Source organism: Homo sapiens, chromosome 12 (genome assembly GCF_000001405.40).
Source record: "Homo sapiens chromosome 12, GRCh38.p14 Primary Assembly".
Taxonomy (NCBI): domain Eukaryota; kingdom Metazoa; phylum Chordata; class Mammalia; order Primates; family Hominidae; genus Homo; species Homo sapiens.
This window is the reverse complement of record NC_000012.12, coordinates 66544806-66562800: the sequence shown is the minus strand read 5'-3', so window position 1 is coordinate 66562800 and position 17995 is coordinate 66544806. Positions and strand designations below refer to the sequence as shown.

The 17995-nt window shown below is 37.6% G+C and overlaps 1 protein-coding gene across 22 annotated transcripts in view; it reads left to right on the top strand.

The window, feature by feature from the left end:
• GRIP1 (glutamate receptor interacting protein 1) overlaps positions 1-17995 on the top strand; it is a 721908-nt gene that overhangs the window by 506538 nt on the left and 197375 nt on the right. The gene's annotated exons all lie outside the window — the stretch shown is intronic.

Below are 17995 nucleotides of genomic sequence, written 5' to 3'. Positions count from 1 at the left end.
TAGTTAAGTTTTGGGATAGTCAAAAGTTACATGTGGATTTTCAACTGTGCGGCAGGGGGTCGGGGGTGATGGTGCATCTAACATTGTATTATACGTACATACATATATAATCATGCAACAAAGATACATAATGCCAGATTTTTCATAAAAACTCCTTCTACTGTAAATATGGGTTCCTCAGAGTTGTTTTGAGAAATCAGCACAGTGTCTTAAAATCGTGTTGGGAAATGTTACGGTCTCACCTGCAATAGCTTTTCTTTTGGAACTGAACTATTATTAAGCTGTATATAAGCCTAGATTATAGTTTAATTATACTCAATATTTCTTCAAGCTTCATAAAGTAATTTTTCAAAAAAATTGAAACTTGCCAAATGAGCCTCAGCAGCTTGAAAGAAAATCCAAGGGGCAATAACAGAGCACTGTAAAAAATGCAGCATCACAGTGCTCTTGGTGCCCAAAGTACTGGTGATGAGGACAATATCGTATAGAAAATATGGACATCAGTGACACTGGTTCAGAGGGTGAATGTGGAAAAGTTGTAGGAGCACCTTGACTGATTTATTTCACTGACATTTTTCTTTTCATGCATGTGCTTTGAGTTATTTAATAAGTATAATACTTAAACAACCTTAGTGATAAGCATTATGTTGTAATTTGATTGACAGCGTATTCTTTTGTTTTATTTTGTTTTGTTTGAGACAGGATCTTGCTCTGACCCAGGCTGGAGTGCTGTAGTGCAATCATGGCTCACTGCAGCCTCAACCTCCCAGGCTCAAGCAATCCTCTCACCTCAACACCCCCACATCCCCCACCAGGTAGCTGGGACTACAGGAGCACACCACCATGCCTGGGTAATTTTTAAATCTTTTTGTAGAGACAGAGTTTCACCAAGTTGTCCAGGGTGGTCTCAAACTGCTTAGCTCAAGCAATCCTCCCACCTCAGCCTCCCAAATTACTAGGATTACAGGCATGAGCCACCAAACCCAGACATATTCTTTCTTAGCAGCAAATAAAATAACAGTGTGCCTTACGATCGCTGGCACCTTAAAGTCAATAAAATATATATATTTTTTTAAGCCATATACTTCAGTTCTCTCATTTTACAGTTCAGAGATTAGGGCACACAAGGATTTAGTGACTTGCCAGAGGCGAGGCAATAGGGCTGGTTTTTTAGGGCATAATGAACCATTTGCAAATATTTTTCAAGTGACTGTCCCAACTTAGCCCCAGATTAACCCTTTGTTTTTCTAAATAATCATAACTAACCATATTGTTATAATTTTCTATTTCTTTAAGTCAGTATTTCTTTTTTTTTAGTTTTTAATTTTTGTGGGTATATAGTAAGTATATATATTTATGGGGTACATGAGATGTTTTGATACAGCCATGCAATGCATAATAATCACATCAGGGTAAATGGGGTATCCATCACCTCAAGCACTTATCCTTTGTGCTACAAACAATCCAATTATACTCTTTTAGTTATTTTAAGATGTACAATTATTATCGACTATAGTCACCTGCTGTGTTATCAAATACTGCATCTTATTCATTCTTTCTAATGTTTTTGTACCCATTAGCCATCCTCACTTTCCTTCCACTCCCCTGCTAACTTCCCAGCTTCTGGTAACCTTTATTCTACTCTCTAGCTCCATGAATTCAATTGTTTTAATTTTCAGCTCCCACAATTAAGTGACAACATGTGTTTGTCTTTCTGTGCCTGGCTTATTTCACTTAACATAATGACCTTTATTTCCATTCATATTGTTGCAAATGACAGGATCTCATTCTTTTTTAGGGCTGAATAGTACTCCATTGTGTGTATGTACCACATTTTCTTTATCCATTCATCTGTTGATGAACACAGGTTGCTTCCAAATCCTGGTTGTTGTACATAGTGCTGCAATAAATATGGAAGTGCAGATATTTCTTTGATATATCAATTTCCTTTCTTTAGGGCTTATACCTAGCAGTATATGGGTATATGCTGCTAGGGATTGCTGGATCATATGGTAGCTCTATTTTTAGTTTTGTGAGGAACCGCCAAACTGCTCTGCATTGTGATTGTACTAATTTATATTCCCACCAACAGTGTACAAGACTTCCCTTTTCTCCATGTCCTCACCAGCATTTGTTATTCCCTTTCTTTTAACTGGGGTGAGATGTTATTATATTTAATTGTAGTTTTGATTTGGATTTCTCTGCTGATCAATGATGTTGAGCACCATTTCATATACCTGTTTGCCATTTGTCTCTCTTTTTTTTTGAGAAATGTCTAATCAAATATTTTGCCCATTTTTCAATTGGATTATTACATTAAAACTTTTACTATAGAGTTGTTTGAGCTCCTTATATATTCTGGTTACTAATCCCTTGTCAGATGTATAGTTTACAAATATTTTCTCCCATTCTGTGGGTTGTCTCTTCACTTTATTGATTGTTTCCTTTGCTGTGCAGAAGCTTTTTAACTTGATGTGATCCCATTTATCCATTTTTACTTTGGTTGCCTGTGCTTGTGGAGTATTACTCAAGAAATTTTTGCCCAAATCAATGTCCTGGAGAGTGCCCTTGATGTTTCCTTATTGTACTTTCATAATTTGAGGTCTGGGATTTAATTCTTTAATCCACTTTGATTTGATTTTTGTATATGGCAAGAGATGGGGGTCTAGTTTCATTCTTCTGCATATGGATATCTAGTTTTCCCAGCATGATTTATTGAAGAAACTGCCTTTTCCCCAGTGTATATTCTTGGCACCTTTGTTGAAAATGAGTTCTCTGTAGGTGTATGGATTTGTTTCTGGGTTCTCTGTTCTGTTCCATTGGTCTGTGTATCTGTTTTTATGCCAGTACCATGCAGTTTTGGCTACTATAGAACTGTAGTATATTTTGAAGTCAGGTAATGTGATCCATCCAGTTTTATTTTTCCTCAGGATACTTTTGGCTATTCTGGGTCTTTTGTGGGTCCATATAAATTTTAGGATTGTTTTTTCTATTTCTGTGAAGAATGTCATTGATATTTCAATAGAGATTGCATTGAATTAGTAGATTGCTTTCCGTAGTATGACATCGTAACAATATTGATTCTTCCAATCCATGAACATGGAGTATCTTTCCATTTTTTGTGTGTCCTCTTCAATTTCTTTCATCAAGGTTTTAAAGTTTTCATTGTAAAGACCTTTCACTTCTTTTAATTCCTAGCTATTTAATTTTATTTGTAGCTGTTGTAAATGGAATTACTTTTTAAATTTCTTTTTCAGATTGTTCACTGTTGGCATATAGATATGCCACTGATTTTTTATGTTGATTTTGTATTCTGCAATTTCACTGAATTTGTCAGATCTAATAGGTTTTTGGTGGAGTCTTAAGGGTTTTCCAAATATAAGATCATGTCATTTGTAAACAAGGATAATTTGACTTCTTCCTTTCCGATTTGGATGCCTTTTGCTTCTTTCTCTTATCTGATTGCTCTAGCTAGGGCTTCCAGTACTATGTTGAATAACAGTAGTGACACTGAGCATCTTTCTAAGTTCCAGATCTTAGAGAAAACACTTTCAGTTTTTCCCCATTCAGCATGATGTTAGCTGTGGGTCTGCCTTATATGGTTTTTATTATGTTGAGGTATGTTCCTGCTATACCCTGTTTTTTGAGGGTTTTTTTTTTTTTATCATGAAGGGATATTGAATTTTATCAAATGCTTTTTCAGCATCAATTGAGATGATCATGTGGTTTTTGTCCTTCATTCTGTTGTGGGTATATCACACTGATTGATTTGTGTAGGTTAAACCATCCTTGCACCCCTGGGATAAATTTCACTTGGTCATGATGAATGATGTTTTCAATGTGATCTTGAATTTGGTTTGCTGCTATTTTGTTGAGGATTTTTGCAACAGGGTTTATTGGGAATATTAGCTTGTAGTTTTCTTTTTTCATGTGTCTTTGTTTGGTTTTGGTATCAGGGTAATACTGGCCTTGTAGAGTGAGTTCTGAAGTATTCTCTCCTTTATTTTTTGGAATAGTTTGAGCAGGATTGGCATTAGTTCTTCTTCAAATGTTTGGTAAAAATCAGCAGTGAAGCCATCAGGTCCTGGACTTTTCTTTGCTGGGAGGCTTTTTATTACAGCTTTAATCTCATTACTTGTTATGAGTTATGGTCAGTTCAGATTTTGGATTTCAGCATGGCTCAATCTTGGTACATTTTATTTATATAGGAATTTATACATTTCTTCTAGGCTTTCCAATTTATTGGCATATACTTGCCCATAGTAATCTCTAATGGTCCTCATATGATTTGGCTGTTTTCCCACCCAAATCTCATCTTGAATTATAGCTCCCATAATTCACACATGTTGTGTGAGGGACCCAGTGGGAGATAATTGAATCACGGGGGTGTTTTCCCCATACTGTTCTTGTGGTAGTGAGTAAGTCTTACAGGATCTGATGATTTTATAAGAGGTTTTCCTTTTTGCTTGGCTCTCTCATTCGCCCTTGCCTGCCACCATGTAAGAGATGCCTTTCGCCTTCCTCCATGATTGTGAGTCTCTCCAGCCATGTGTAACTGTGAGTCCATTAAACCTCTTTTCCTTTATAAATTACCCAGTCTTGTTATGACTTTATCAGCAGCATGAAAACGGACTAATATAGGTCCTTTGAGTTTCTGTAGTATCAGCTGTAATGTCTTCATTTTCATCTTTGATTTTATTTATTTAGGTCTTCTCTCTGTTTTCATAGTCTGGCTAAAGGTTTATCAATTTTGTTTATTCAAAAAACTAACTTTAAAGAAAAGAAACAACTTTTAATTGATCATTGGTATTGTTTTCTTCATTTCAGTTTCATTTATTTCTGCTCTTTTCTTTTATGCTACTAATTTTGGGTTTGGTTTGCTCTTGCTTTTCTAGTTCTTTAAGATGCATTCTTAGGTTGTTTATTTGAAGGTTTTCTATTTTTTGATGTAGTATTAATAGCTATAACTTCCCTCTTAGTGCTGCTTTTGCTGTATCCCATAGGTTTTGGTATGTTGTGTTTGTGATGTTATTTGTTTCAAGAGATTTTTAAATTTTCTTCTTAATTTCCTCATTGACCCATTGGTCATTCAGGAGCATACTGTTTCATTTCCATGTGTTTGTTGAATTTCCAAAATTCCTCTTGTTACTGATTTCTAGTTTTATTCCACTGTGGTCAGAGAATATACTTGACACCATTTCAAATTTTTTGGAATTTTTAGAGATTTGTTTTGTGCTAACATATGATCTATTCTCGAGGATGATCCACGTGCTGAGGAGAATGTGTATGCTGCAACTGTTGAATAAAATGTTCCGTAGATACCAATTAGGTTCATTTGGTCTGTAGTCCAGATTAAGTCCATTGTTTCTTTGTTGATTTTATGTCTGGATGATTTGTCCAATCCTGAAAGTAGGGTCACCAGCTATTATTGTATTGAGTTCTATCTCTCTCTTAAACTCTAATAATATTTGCTTTGTATATCTGCGTACTCCAGTGTTGGGTGTACATATATTTACAATGGTTATATCCTCTTGCTGAATTTACCCTTTTATCATTATATAATGAGCCCTCTTTGTCTCTTCTCACAGTTTTTGTCTCAAAATCTATTTTGTCTGATAGAAATATAGCTACTTCTGCCCTTTTGTGGTTTCCATTGGCATAGGATGTCTTTTTCCATCCCTTGTTTTCAGTCTATGAGTCATTATAGGTGAAGTGTGTTTCTTATAGACAACAGATAGTTGAGTCTTTTTTTTTATCCATTCAGCCACTCTGTGTCTCTTGATTGGAGAATTTAGTCCATTTACATTCAATGTTATTATTGATAAGTAAGGATTTACTCCTGCCATTTTGTTATTAGTTTTGTGGTTGTTTTGTGGTCTTATTTTTTTTTCTGTCATTCCTTCCTGTCTTCCTTTTAGTGGTAATGTTTCTCTGGTGGTATGTTTTAATCTCTTCCTTTTTATACTTTATGTATCTGTTGTATGTTTTCAATTTGAGGTTACCATAAGGCTTGCAAATACTGTCTTATAACCCATTATTTTAAACTGATGACAACTTAACACTGATTTCATAAACAAATATGCAAAAGGAAAACTAACAAAAACTCTACACTTCAACTTGTCCCCCTGCTTTTTAACATTTTGTTGTTGTTTTTTTTTTAATGTTTTATCATACTGGCTATTTCTTGAAAAGTTGTCATAGTTATTATTTTTGATTGGTTCATCATTTAGTCTTTCTTCTTAAGTTTGCATACCACCATTACAGTGTTATACTGTGTTTTTCTTGGTGCTTCCTATTACCAGTGAATTTTGTAACTTCAGATGATTTCTTATTGCTCACTAACATCCTTTTCTTTCAGATTGAAGAATTCCCCTTAGCATTTCTTGTAGGACAGGTCTGGTGCTCATGGAATCCCTCAGCTTTTGTTTGTCTAGGAAGGTCTTTATTTCTCCTTCATGCTTAAAGCAATTTTTGCCAGATATACTATTCGAGGATAAAAGTTTTTTTTCTTTCAGTACTTTAAATATGTAATGCCACGCTCTCCTGGCCTGTAAGATTTCCATTGAAAAGTCTGCTGCTAGATTTACTGGAGCTCCATTCTATGTTATTTGTTTATTTTCTCTTGCTGCCTTTAGGATTCTTTCTTTTTCCTTTGCCTTTGAGAGTTTGATTATTAAATGTCTTGAGGCAGTCTTCTTTGGGCTCAATCTGTTTGGTGTTCTATAACCTTTTTGTACTTAAATATTGATATATTTCTCTAGGTTTGGGAAGTTCTCTGTTATTATCACTTTGAATAATATCTGTCTCTACATCCCTATCTGTCTCTACATCCTCATTAAGGTTAATAACTCTTAGGTTTGCCCTTTTGAGGCTATTTTCTGGGTCTAATAGGCATGCCTTATTCCTTTTTCATTCTTTTTTCTTTTGTCTCCTCTATTTTCAAATAGACTGTCTTCAAGTTCATTAATTCTTCCTTCTGCTTGATCACTTCTCCTATTAACAGACTGTGGTGCATTCTTTAGTACGTCAATTGCATGTTTTCAACTCCAGCATTTCTGCTCAATTCTTTTTAATTATTTGAATCTCTTTGTTAAATTTATCTGATAGGATTCTGAATTTCTTCACTGTATTATCTTAAATTTCATCAAGTTTCCTCCAGTCACCTATTTTGCATTCTCTCTCTGAAAGGTTACATAGCTCTATTTCTCTGGGTTTGGTCCCTGGTGCCTTATGTTATTCAGTTGATGAGGTCATGTTTTTAGATGGTCTTGATGTTTATTGATGTTCATCAGTGTCTGAGCATTGATGAGTTAAGTATTTATTGTAGTCGTCGCAGTCTGGGCTTGTTTGTACCCATCCTTCTTGGGAGAGCTCTGCAGGTATTTGAAGGGACGTGGGTGTTGGAATCTAATTTTTTGGTCACTGCAGCCATATCTGCATTAGGGGGCACCCCAAGCCCAGTAATGCTATGGCTCTTATAGACTCATAGAGGCATCATCTTGGTGGTTTTGGATAAGATCCAGAAAAATTATCTGGATTACTAGGTAGAGACTCTTACTGTCTTGCCATACTTTCTCCCAAACAGACAGAGTCTGTCTCTGTGCTGAGCCACCTGGAGATGGGGAAGGAGTGACACATGCACCCCTGTGGCCACTATCACTGGGACTGCACTGGGTCAGACCTGAAGCCAGCACAGCAGTGGGTCTCACCTAAGGCCTGCTGTAACCACTACTTGGCTACCACCTATGTTTTCTCAAGGCCCTAGAACTCTATAATCAGCAAGTAGCAGAACCAGCCATCCTTCAGGGTGAAGAGTTCCCTTCAGGGTAGAGAGTTCCTCTGGATCCTGGATGGGTTCAGAGATGGCATTCAGGAGCCAGGTCCTGGAGTCAGGAACCTTAGAAAGCTACCTGGTGCTCTATTCTACTGCAGCTGAACTGGTACCCAAAGCACAATAAAAAGTCCTTCCCACTCTACCTCTGCTTTCCACAGGCAGAGGAGCCTCTCCCCATGGCCACCACCTCCAGTGTGCCATGGGGAATACTGCCAAAGTACCACCGATGTTCACTTAAGGTCCATGGACTCTTCAGTCAGCTTGTAATGAATGCTTCCAGCCCCAGGATTCTCCCTTCAGGGCAGTGGGCCCCCCTCTAGCCCAAAGCAGGTCCATAAATGCCATTCATGAGCCAAGGCCTGGAATGGGAACCCCAATGGCCCACTTCGTGCTCTACTCCCCTGTGGCCAAACTGGTACCTAAGTTGCAAGACAAAGTCCCCTTCACTCTTCCTCTGTTTTTCTCAAGCAGAGTCTTTCCTCATGGCCACCACAGTTGGGAATATGCTAGGTCACACTTGAAGCCAGCATGTCTCAGATTCTCACCCAAGGCCCATGGCATGTACTACACCTGGCTACCACTGCTGACTATTCAGGGCCAAGAGCTCTTAAGTCAGAAGCTGATGAAACCTGCCAGAATTGGATTCTTCCCTTCAAGGCAGTGAGTTTTGGCCCAGGTTTTGTCTAGAAATCTTGTTCAGAAGCTACACCTCCCAACTTTGTGTGGTGCCCTCTCTGACTGTAGCTGAGTTGGTATCCAAGTTGCAAGACAAAGTCCTCTTTACTCTTCCCTCTTCTCTCCTCAAGAAGATGGAAGGGGTCACTTTTGGAACTGCAAACTGTGCTGCCTGGGCTTGGGGGAGGAGTGGTGCAAGCACTCCCTTAGCCACCCCAGCTGGTATCTTACTAGGTCACATGCCCACCAAGTCAATGGGCTCTTAGCCCAGCACAGCACTAGGACTTGCCTAGGAGTTGCAGTCCTTGTGGCTTAGACTGCCTTTCAAGTAGATTTAGGGCCCCAAACCACTTTAGTCCACTGTGGTGGGGCTTGTCGGAGCTCACATGGCAACTGCTGGGATGGAGGATTCCCTTCCAGCTAGGGCTGGTCCAAATGCTTCCTCCATGGGTGTTGGCTGACTTCTGCTTGGTATTGCTTTCCATTGTGATAGGAAAGCACCAAGTTCCAATGCAAAGTCCCAAAATCACAGCACTTTTCCTCCCCCAAGCTCATAAATTCTTCGTGCCATGAGACATGCGGGATGGGGAAGGGGTGGCATCGGCAATTCAAGACTGTTTTTCCTACTCTTGTCAGTGGCTCTTTCAGTGATATGAAGTTAAAACCAGGTACTGTGATCGCTCACCTGATTTTTGGTTCCTACGAAGGTGCTTTTCCTGTGTAGATAGTTGTTAAATTTGGTGTTCCTGCAGGGAGGATGATCAGTGGAGGCTTCTATTCAGCCATCTTGCTCTGCCTCCCAAGGTCTGTATTTTTTAATAGAATATAAATTCCTTGAGGTCAGGGACTAAGTCTACATCATTTACTGCTAGATAGCAAAGTGCCTAGAATTTAGGAAATTATCAATAGATATTCAATGGAAGATAGGGAGGGAAACAAGGGAGGGAGAGGGAAGGAGGGAGGAAATGAGGAAGAGAGGGAGGGACTAAAGCATTTCAAACTCAGAGTGAGGCTAGAAGATAGTTATACTTGGGTAAGATAGTGTTACATAAGGTGATTGAGGTACTAATAAAAAGGATGGATGGCATCAAAGAGGAAACAGTAGTGACTGCTTTATCTGCTCATTCTCTTTCTGCTTACTGCAATGGGGAACATTTCTCTGTGACAAGAAAATGGTTTCCCATGTAGAGCAGAAGAAATGAAAGGGACCAGGAGAGGGGCCAGGAGAGAATGGTACCCTCCCTGTTAGGATAGAGAAAGCCAAATACAGGGTGTGAGAGCTGTCCTTGATATAGGCAGCACAGCCTTCTCCAGTTCTGAATTCCAGTGGGTCTGAGTAGGGCTCTCATGAAGCTCTGACTCACTGCAGCAGGCCCATGGCTTCTCCATGGAAAGTCCATAGGGCTCCCCAGATGCTTTGCTTCTTGGTGATCTGCAGTGACTACACTATTAGTTTTCCATCTGTTCCTCTATTTGAAATGAATCAAGTCTCATCAAACAAGGGACAATCAAATAAATGCCCCTGATGCACAGGCATCTGTGACAAAATGAGGACTGATTTACTAGTGCCCTTGTGGCTTGGAGTCTGCTTGAGGCTAGCTTTACTTTTCTTCCCTTTTCTCAAAAGTATTTCATCTATACATTCTTTTGGTCCATTGTTTGACAATTACTGTATGATGAGTCTGAAACTTTGTAGCATTTAGTTACATGAGGCGGAAATTTCATGTACGTAAAATAGACATGAAGTTCGGCCTAATGAAAGGACCCTAATTTTCAAGTCTCAGTGTCCCTAATCTATAAAATGGTAGTATGCCCTTCTTTACAGAGTTTTTCTGAAGGCTAAGTTAGTGAATGGATGTAAGAATACTTGGAAAAGTATAAACTGCTTTAAAAGAATGGATAGTCTTTAAAAGTATCACAAATTTCTTCATTTTAATCTCTCTATTCAGTCAGGTTCCTAGCTCATGTTAGATTCGTGGGTACTTAGATATTCATGGAAGAAAAAGGCCAAGTGAGTGTAGCTCTAAGTTCTACTTTGCCCTGATTATTTAAGAAGTCTGATTTCTTGTTGAAGTTTATCCTTTCTCCATTTCCCTTTCAGGCACAATGGAACCTCAAGCCTTGTCCTCTTAGTTGTCTTTGAAGATGCAACATTTGGCCCCTTATGTTAAACACTAAGCGACCTAACTCAGCAATGACTAGCTCTCACTAGCTGTAGTGCAGCCTTACCTGATATCTTTCTCAGGATCTTCTTTCACTTCCAGAGTGTTCTTTCTTTTTATCCACCCAGCTGCTCCCATCCCTTGTTGTTCAGCTGGACTCCCAGATCAGAACATCTGATCATTCTAATCCCCGCACAGTAGTTCTGGATTTTCATATTTAAATAGTTATTCAACATAAGATACTGCCCTGCCTGGCACTGTGGCTCATGCCTGTAGTCCCAGCACTTTGGTAGGCTGAGGCAGGACCATCGCTTGAGCCCAGGAGTTCAAAACCAGCCGAAGCAACATAGTGAGACCCCATCTGTACAACAACAACAACAACAACAAAATTGTTTTAAAAAATTAGCTGGGCCTAGTGACACACACTACTCAGGGGGCTGAGGCAGGAGGATCCCTTGAGCCCAATAAGTTAAGACTGTAGTAAGCAAAAATTGCACCACTACAGTACAGTCTGGGCAATAGAGTGAGACCTTGTCTCAAAAAAAAAAAAAAAAAAAAGGATTCTAGCCAAAAGGACACCCAAAAATACATGCAAAAATAAATGATTTCCTCCCAAAAATAGCTCATTAATTTGCTAAGCAATACTTGGTATCTTCACTTCTCTATTAAGTGGAAACAACAGTAATACTGCAAGTAAATATTCTACTTTCATCTAAAGAAGAACTTAAACCTCTAAATAGCCATCTGTAGCCTATAGAGGACTTTCTCAGCAGCATACGTTGAGCTGTTATTCCCTTTCAGGCTCCCAGGCCATGCTATGGACTGACGACATTTCATTGCAATTATTAGATGTTTGTCTCTTAGACATTTAGAATGTGAATTGCAGAAAGGTAGAGGCAGTGATTATTGGTCTTCAAAATACTAGCCTCTACCACAGAGTCTGGCAATTATAAATGCTTAAAAACGTTTTTAGGACAAAACAGTCCATAAGTAGTTGTAAGAATGTAGTTAACTTATCTAAGGGAACATTGAAAATCAGAGTAATTAAATTCAAAGATAGCCATGCCAATTGCTTCAGTTTTACTTGTAAACTCCGATTTTCAATCATGTCAACAATGTGATTTTATAATAGCTTACAAGTGAAAATTACAGATGGAAAGTTTTTCCAAAGGAAAACTGCCTGAGGCTCTTGAAGCAAGTGTGATTCCGAGATATCCTGCCCAGTGCTTTCTCCTGGCCCTTATCAACTCTTACATTTAAATGTCCACCACTCAGGCCATCATGCTTAGGAAGAGAGGCGGTTTCACTGAGGTGAGCCATTTCCTGTTTCTGATATCTTGCATCATGGTTTTATTTAGACTATCAGATGATTGTGTAGGAATACGTGACTGATAGATGTGGGTGCTGTTTGCTATTCTACATCCCCCTACCCAACATACACACGAATTATAAAATGTCACTCCAGCGTAAATTGTTCTTTGATTGTCACATTGCTCAAACCTGATCTTCTAGGTCAGAGTTTCTAAAGTAGGGTATATGGATAAACCCCAGGGGGAATTCATGAATTCCCCTGAAATAATGCACACAATTTTTCTGGGACAAGCGTTCACTGCTTTCATTAAATTCTCAAAGTAGTCTGTGACTTCACCAACAGTTAAATACCACTGTTAATTCTTTTGTCTTATATTCATAACAATCAAAATATAGTAGAAAATTGGCAGTTTGCATATCTGGAAATTTCCAATATCCAAATAACAATAATAATGACAATAAGACAACAATAATACCTTGGCTAACATATATTGAACACTTACTGTGTGGGTTATTACCATAAGTTCCTTATAAGAATTGTATTACTTAATTTCACCACATTCTGTAAGTAGATACCATTATTATCCCTAAATTAGATGTGAGGAAACTAAGACCCGTGAAAACTAAATAACTTGTTAATAAGTTTGACATTGGAAAGCTTAATAGCAAATTTTGACAATTAAATAACTGATTTTGGGAGCAGTAGAAATTGGAACAATTCTCGTATTGCCATATTTTAAAAGCAGGGATTTTTTTTTAACTTAATGCTTTAGAAGGCATTTGATACCTGAATCAGTTATGCCAGAAAAACAGTCAACATCTCTGTTCAATCTATTTTTAAAAGAATCCTGACCCATATATCACATATCTTCAGGGGTCACATATTTTTGTATTTGACACTGCATATTTGTATATCCCCTTTCTTTGGAGGTGCAATAGGAAACATACAGATATTAATCCAGCCCTCCCATCACTGCATGAGATAAATCCCAATCATAATTTTGTTTCACATGAATATTTGTGCCAGGTAATATTTATGTGCTGTACATCCCTGCCACTGATCAAATTTATGTTCAGACTCCCAAGGGATGAGAAAAATTCTAGTATATCCCTCATGTCACTACACAGAGGTGGAAAATGCCCAAAAACCTTTCTCTGCTAGTCTGGGTGGCAAAAACTGAGACTGAAAATGCAGCAGTTCATCACAGAAACCCAGCTTTGATCCCCACAGCTTTGCTGAACCAGGGGATATTAGGAAGAGCTTGAAATGAGTATTGGAAAAAGCATCTGTTTATTTCCTGAGGGGAATAAACTTCCTAGTGGCACCACCAAAAGTAATATACAGATAAAACTGTAGTATGAGCAATAATATTTTTTTCAATAGTAGTACACAGATATAGCTATAGTATTCTGGTGCGTGCCCTAATTCCCCTTACTAAGGCATTGGTACAATTAATCAACCAAGTAAGCTTAGGGAAATAACTCTGTCTGCTCCTGTTCAGATTCTGCTCCTTTATCATTTTGCTTCTGCACCGTCCAGCAATAATTCTGTTTGCCACAAGCTGATGCTCACCACCCCATTATAATTCCCTGTTTTGGGACTGATGTGCTCGTTCATCCAGCAGTTACCAGGGAGGACCTGTGAATGTTCCAGGCACTATTCTAGATGCTGGAGATACAGCAGGGAAAAAACACTCTTGTTGACACCAGCATTTCAAAATTTGTGACTTACTTTACAGAGTTTTCACCAATAGTATTTCTATTTAACTGTTAATAGTATTTTTAAAAATCTCTGCAGTTAATAGTACTTCAAGAAGTAAAGAGCTTCGCCTGTTTTGCTGAATATGCCTCTAGTGGTTGCTTTGAAATTGTACTTTCTCTTTTTACGCTACAGCCATGTGGTGAAGATCTTATAGAGCATTTTGAGGTGTGATGAAAAGTATTTTAAGACCAAGTTTTTCTGTGGTATTTCAATGTTAAATTTATCTTATATGACATTATATAGTGTGCCTGCCCCACTCCAATCACCCGCAGCAACACAAACTTCCTGTTTTCTAGATTCCCTTTCTCAGTGACAGATGTCAACATCCACCAATCAAACAAGTTGGAAACCTTGGGGCCTTTTTGATCCTCACTCACTTCCATGCTTCCCACATCCTAATTGGTCTCTAACTCCGGAAAATTCCTCCTCATTAATATGTCTGGTGTCCATGTCATCCACATAGCCTCTGATGTATTTTAGTCCATCATGTGTTGCCTCTGGGTGGCATAGTCAGTACCTGTCCCTCCATATCCACCCTACCCCCATTGCATGGGTCTCTATTTAGACTCTAGTTCTCAGCCTCCTTTGAATTTATGTGTGTACATGGATGGAATAAGTTCTTGCCCTTGGGATGTGAACATAAGCAGGCCAGTAATGGCTTTCAAGAGAGCTGTCTTTCCCCTTCCACCAGCTGAATGAAAACAAGATAAAGTCCTAGGGCAGAAGTTTCTAAACTTTCTCAGTCCACAGAGCCTTTAGTGTCTCAGAATTTTTTACAGCACCTCCAGGCCAAATGAAATACCACTAGTTCAATTTACTAAGTAGTTAGGTCCAAACAACACAGTTCATATTTTATCCTAACAACTTATTAGCCATTTGAAAAAAGATATATATAAACTAAAAGAACAACACATGTTCATTTCACTCTTAAGTAACCACAAGTAGTTCCTCAATTCTAGCTGCATGTTAGAATCCACTGGAGGAACTTTTCAAATACTGATGCCTAGGCGTACTCCAGACCAATTGAATCATATACCCACTGATGGGACATTTTTTAAAAAATTAAACTCCTAATTTTGAGATAATTGTAGATTCATATGCAGTTGTAGAAAATAATATAGAAATTCCTTATATCCTTTACCTTGTTTTCCCCAATAGAAATATCTACAGAACTATATGTAATATCACAACCAGGATATTGACATGGATGGAGTCAAGATACAGAACATATCCATCACCACAAGGATCAATCCTTTACTCTTTTATACCTGCATCCACTTCCCTCCTGCCCTTACCCCTGGCAACTTCTAACCCATACTCTAGTGCTATAATTTTGTCATTTCAAGAATGTTAAATAAATGGAATCACACAATGTGAAATCTTTGGGGTTGACTTTTTGCCCTTAGCATAGTTCTCTGGTAATTGATCTGGGTCGTTACTTGTAGCACTAGTTTGACCCTTTTGATTGCTGAGAAGTATTCCGTGGTATAGACAAACCACACTTGTTTAGCCATTTACCTGTTGCAGGATATCTTGGTTGTTTCTGTTTCCTGCTATTGTGAATAAGGCTGTGATAATTATTCACTTACAGGTTTTGGTGTGAATGAAAGCATTCATTTCTCTAGGATTAATGCCCAGGAGTATAATTTCTGGCTCATAGGGTGGTTGCATATTTAGTTTTCTAATAAACTGCTAAACTGTTTTCCAGAGTAGTTGTCCTATTTTACATTCCCATCAGTAGCGTCAGAGTGATCTAATTTTCTGCATCCTCACCAGCATTTGGTGTTGTCACTAATTTTTATTTTAGCCTTTCTGATAAGTGTGTAATGATATCAATTGTAGTTTTAATTTTTAAGTAATTTGAGCCATTTCCCCAATGGAAAATGTTGAGCATTTTTTCGTGTGTACTTACCTGCCATCTGTATATCCTCTTTAATAAAATATTTCATGTCTTTTTCCCATTTTCTAATTAGATTGTTTGCTTTTTTACTGTTGAGTTTTGAAAGTTGCTTGTATATTTGAAATACTAGTCTTTTGTCTTTTGTTGGATATGTAGTTTGCAGATATTTTTTCCTGGTCTGTAGATGTTCTTTTCATCTTAAGCAGGTCTTGCAGAGAGCATTCATTTTTAATTTTGATGAAGTCCAATTTGCTGATTTTTTTTTCCTTTTATGGATCATGCTTATGTCAAGTCTAGAAACCCTTCGCTAAACCTAGATCTTAAAATTTTTATCCTGTTTTCCTACAGTTTCTAAATATTTCATACAGTTTCTATAATATTATGGTTTACATTTTTGACTGTGATTTATTTTGAGTTAAATTTTATACAAGGTGTGAAACTCTGGTCAAGTTGTGGGATTTATTTATTTATTTTGCCTGTGGATGTCAAATTGCTCCAGCATCATTTGTTGAATAGGCTACCTTTCCTCTATTGAATTGCATTTGCATCTTGTCAAAAAACAGTATGTCATATTTGTGCGAGTCTATTCCTGGGTCCTCTGTTTTGTTCCAGTGATCTATATGTCTATCCCTCCATCAATACCACAGTGGTTTTACTTATGATTTTTGATACAGGGTATCACTCTATCGCCCAGACTGGAGTGCAATGGCATGATCATAGCTTACTGCAGCCTTGACCTCCCAGGCTCAAGTGATCCTACTGCCTCAGCCTCCTGAGTAGCTGGGACTACAGGTGCACACTACCATGCCCAGCTATTTAAAAAAAAAAAAAATTATGCAGAGATGAGATCTCACTGTGTTGCTGCTCTTGAACACCTGGTCTCAAATGATTCTCCCCTCTCAGCCTCTCAAAGTGCTGGAATTATAGGCATGAGCCACTGCACCTGGCCTACCACACAGTCTTTATTACTCTTAACTATGTAAGTTTTGAAATTGAGTAGACTAAATACTCCCACTTTCTTCTTTTTAAAAATTGTTCCTTTCCCTTTCATATAAATTTTAGAATAATCTTGTCTATAGTTACAAAATATTTTGCTGGGATTTTGATAAGGTTTGCATTAAACCTATATATCAATTTGGAAAGAATTAATGTCTTTGTTATGCTGAGTCTCCCAGTCCATGCACATGTTTGTCTCTCCAATTATTTAGGCCTTCTTTAATTTCTTTCAACAGCATTTTTTAGTTTTCACAATGTAAGTACTGTATGTTTTGTTACTTGTACACCTAAGAATTTCATTTTTTGAACAATTATATATGATATTTCATTATTAATTTTAAGGTACATATGTTCATTGCTACTATATAGATATACAACTGATTAAAGAAAATCAATGCTTTTTTCTGTTGACTTATGCTATCCACTGGAATATTAGTTCTTAGATGGCAGGAATAGTATCCATTTTGTTCAGTGTTGTATCTCCAATGCCTCAAACACTGTCTGGCACATAGTAAGTGCTCAGTTCTTATTGAATGAATGAATGGGATGCCTTTTCATTTATTCTAATCTTATATCCTTCAGAAGCACTTTAAAGTTGTCTTCATATAGATGTTGCACAGTTTTGTTAAGTTTTTTCCAGGGATTTTACCTTTTGGCTATTGTAAATGGGGCCTTCTCTTCTATAATAACCTTTTACTGGCTGTTGTTTGTCTATATAAAGGATATAGTTTTCTGCATATTAATTGTATAACCATCTGTGTTTTTAAATATTCTTATTTGTTCGTAAGAACTTTTCATAATTCTCTTGTGTTTGCCAACCATCACTGTTACTTTTCTTAAAAATTTCTGGAGTTCAGTAATTAAAAAGATTGAATTACAAACACAAAGAAAAACAGCAAACAACTAAATTTCATTTCATCAGTGGGATTCTGTTCAGTTATGTTGAGTAAGTAATGGTATAGCTGTAAACCTATACCATTTATTTTCTAAGATAAATAAATATGGTGATTAAGGAAAAAGTCAAATTCAGAACCATTTCCTTCCTCACTAGTTAGACATCATCTGTTGCCTGTGCTGCTTGCTAATTGAAAGAGTGTACAGTGCTCCCTACAAGGTCCTCTTAATTGAGGGAGTGATATTTGCAATTTAAATCACAAAAGAAAGAAATCATCAGTACATATTGACTTGCCCAAGTTCCACTGTTTTACCACAGTGTTTGTTCAGTAAGCCTTGATATATAAGTGAACTCATGCAAATGAATGCATCTGTCTTCATTTCTTCTGTCTTCGTTAGATCACTATGCAAACATTAAACACCAAAAAGGGTATTAAATGATTAATTAGCCAAGTGGAGAC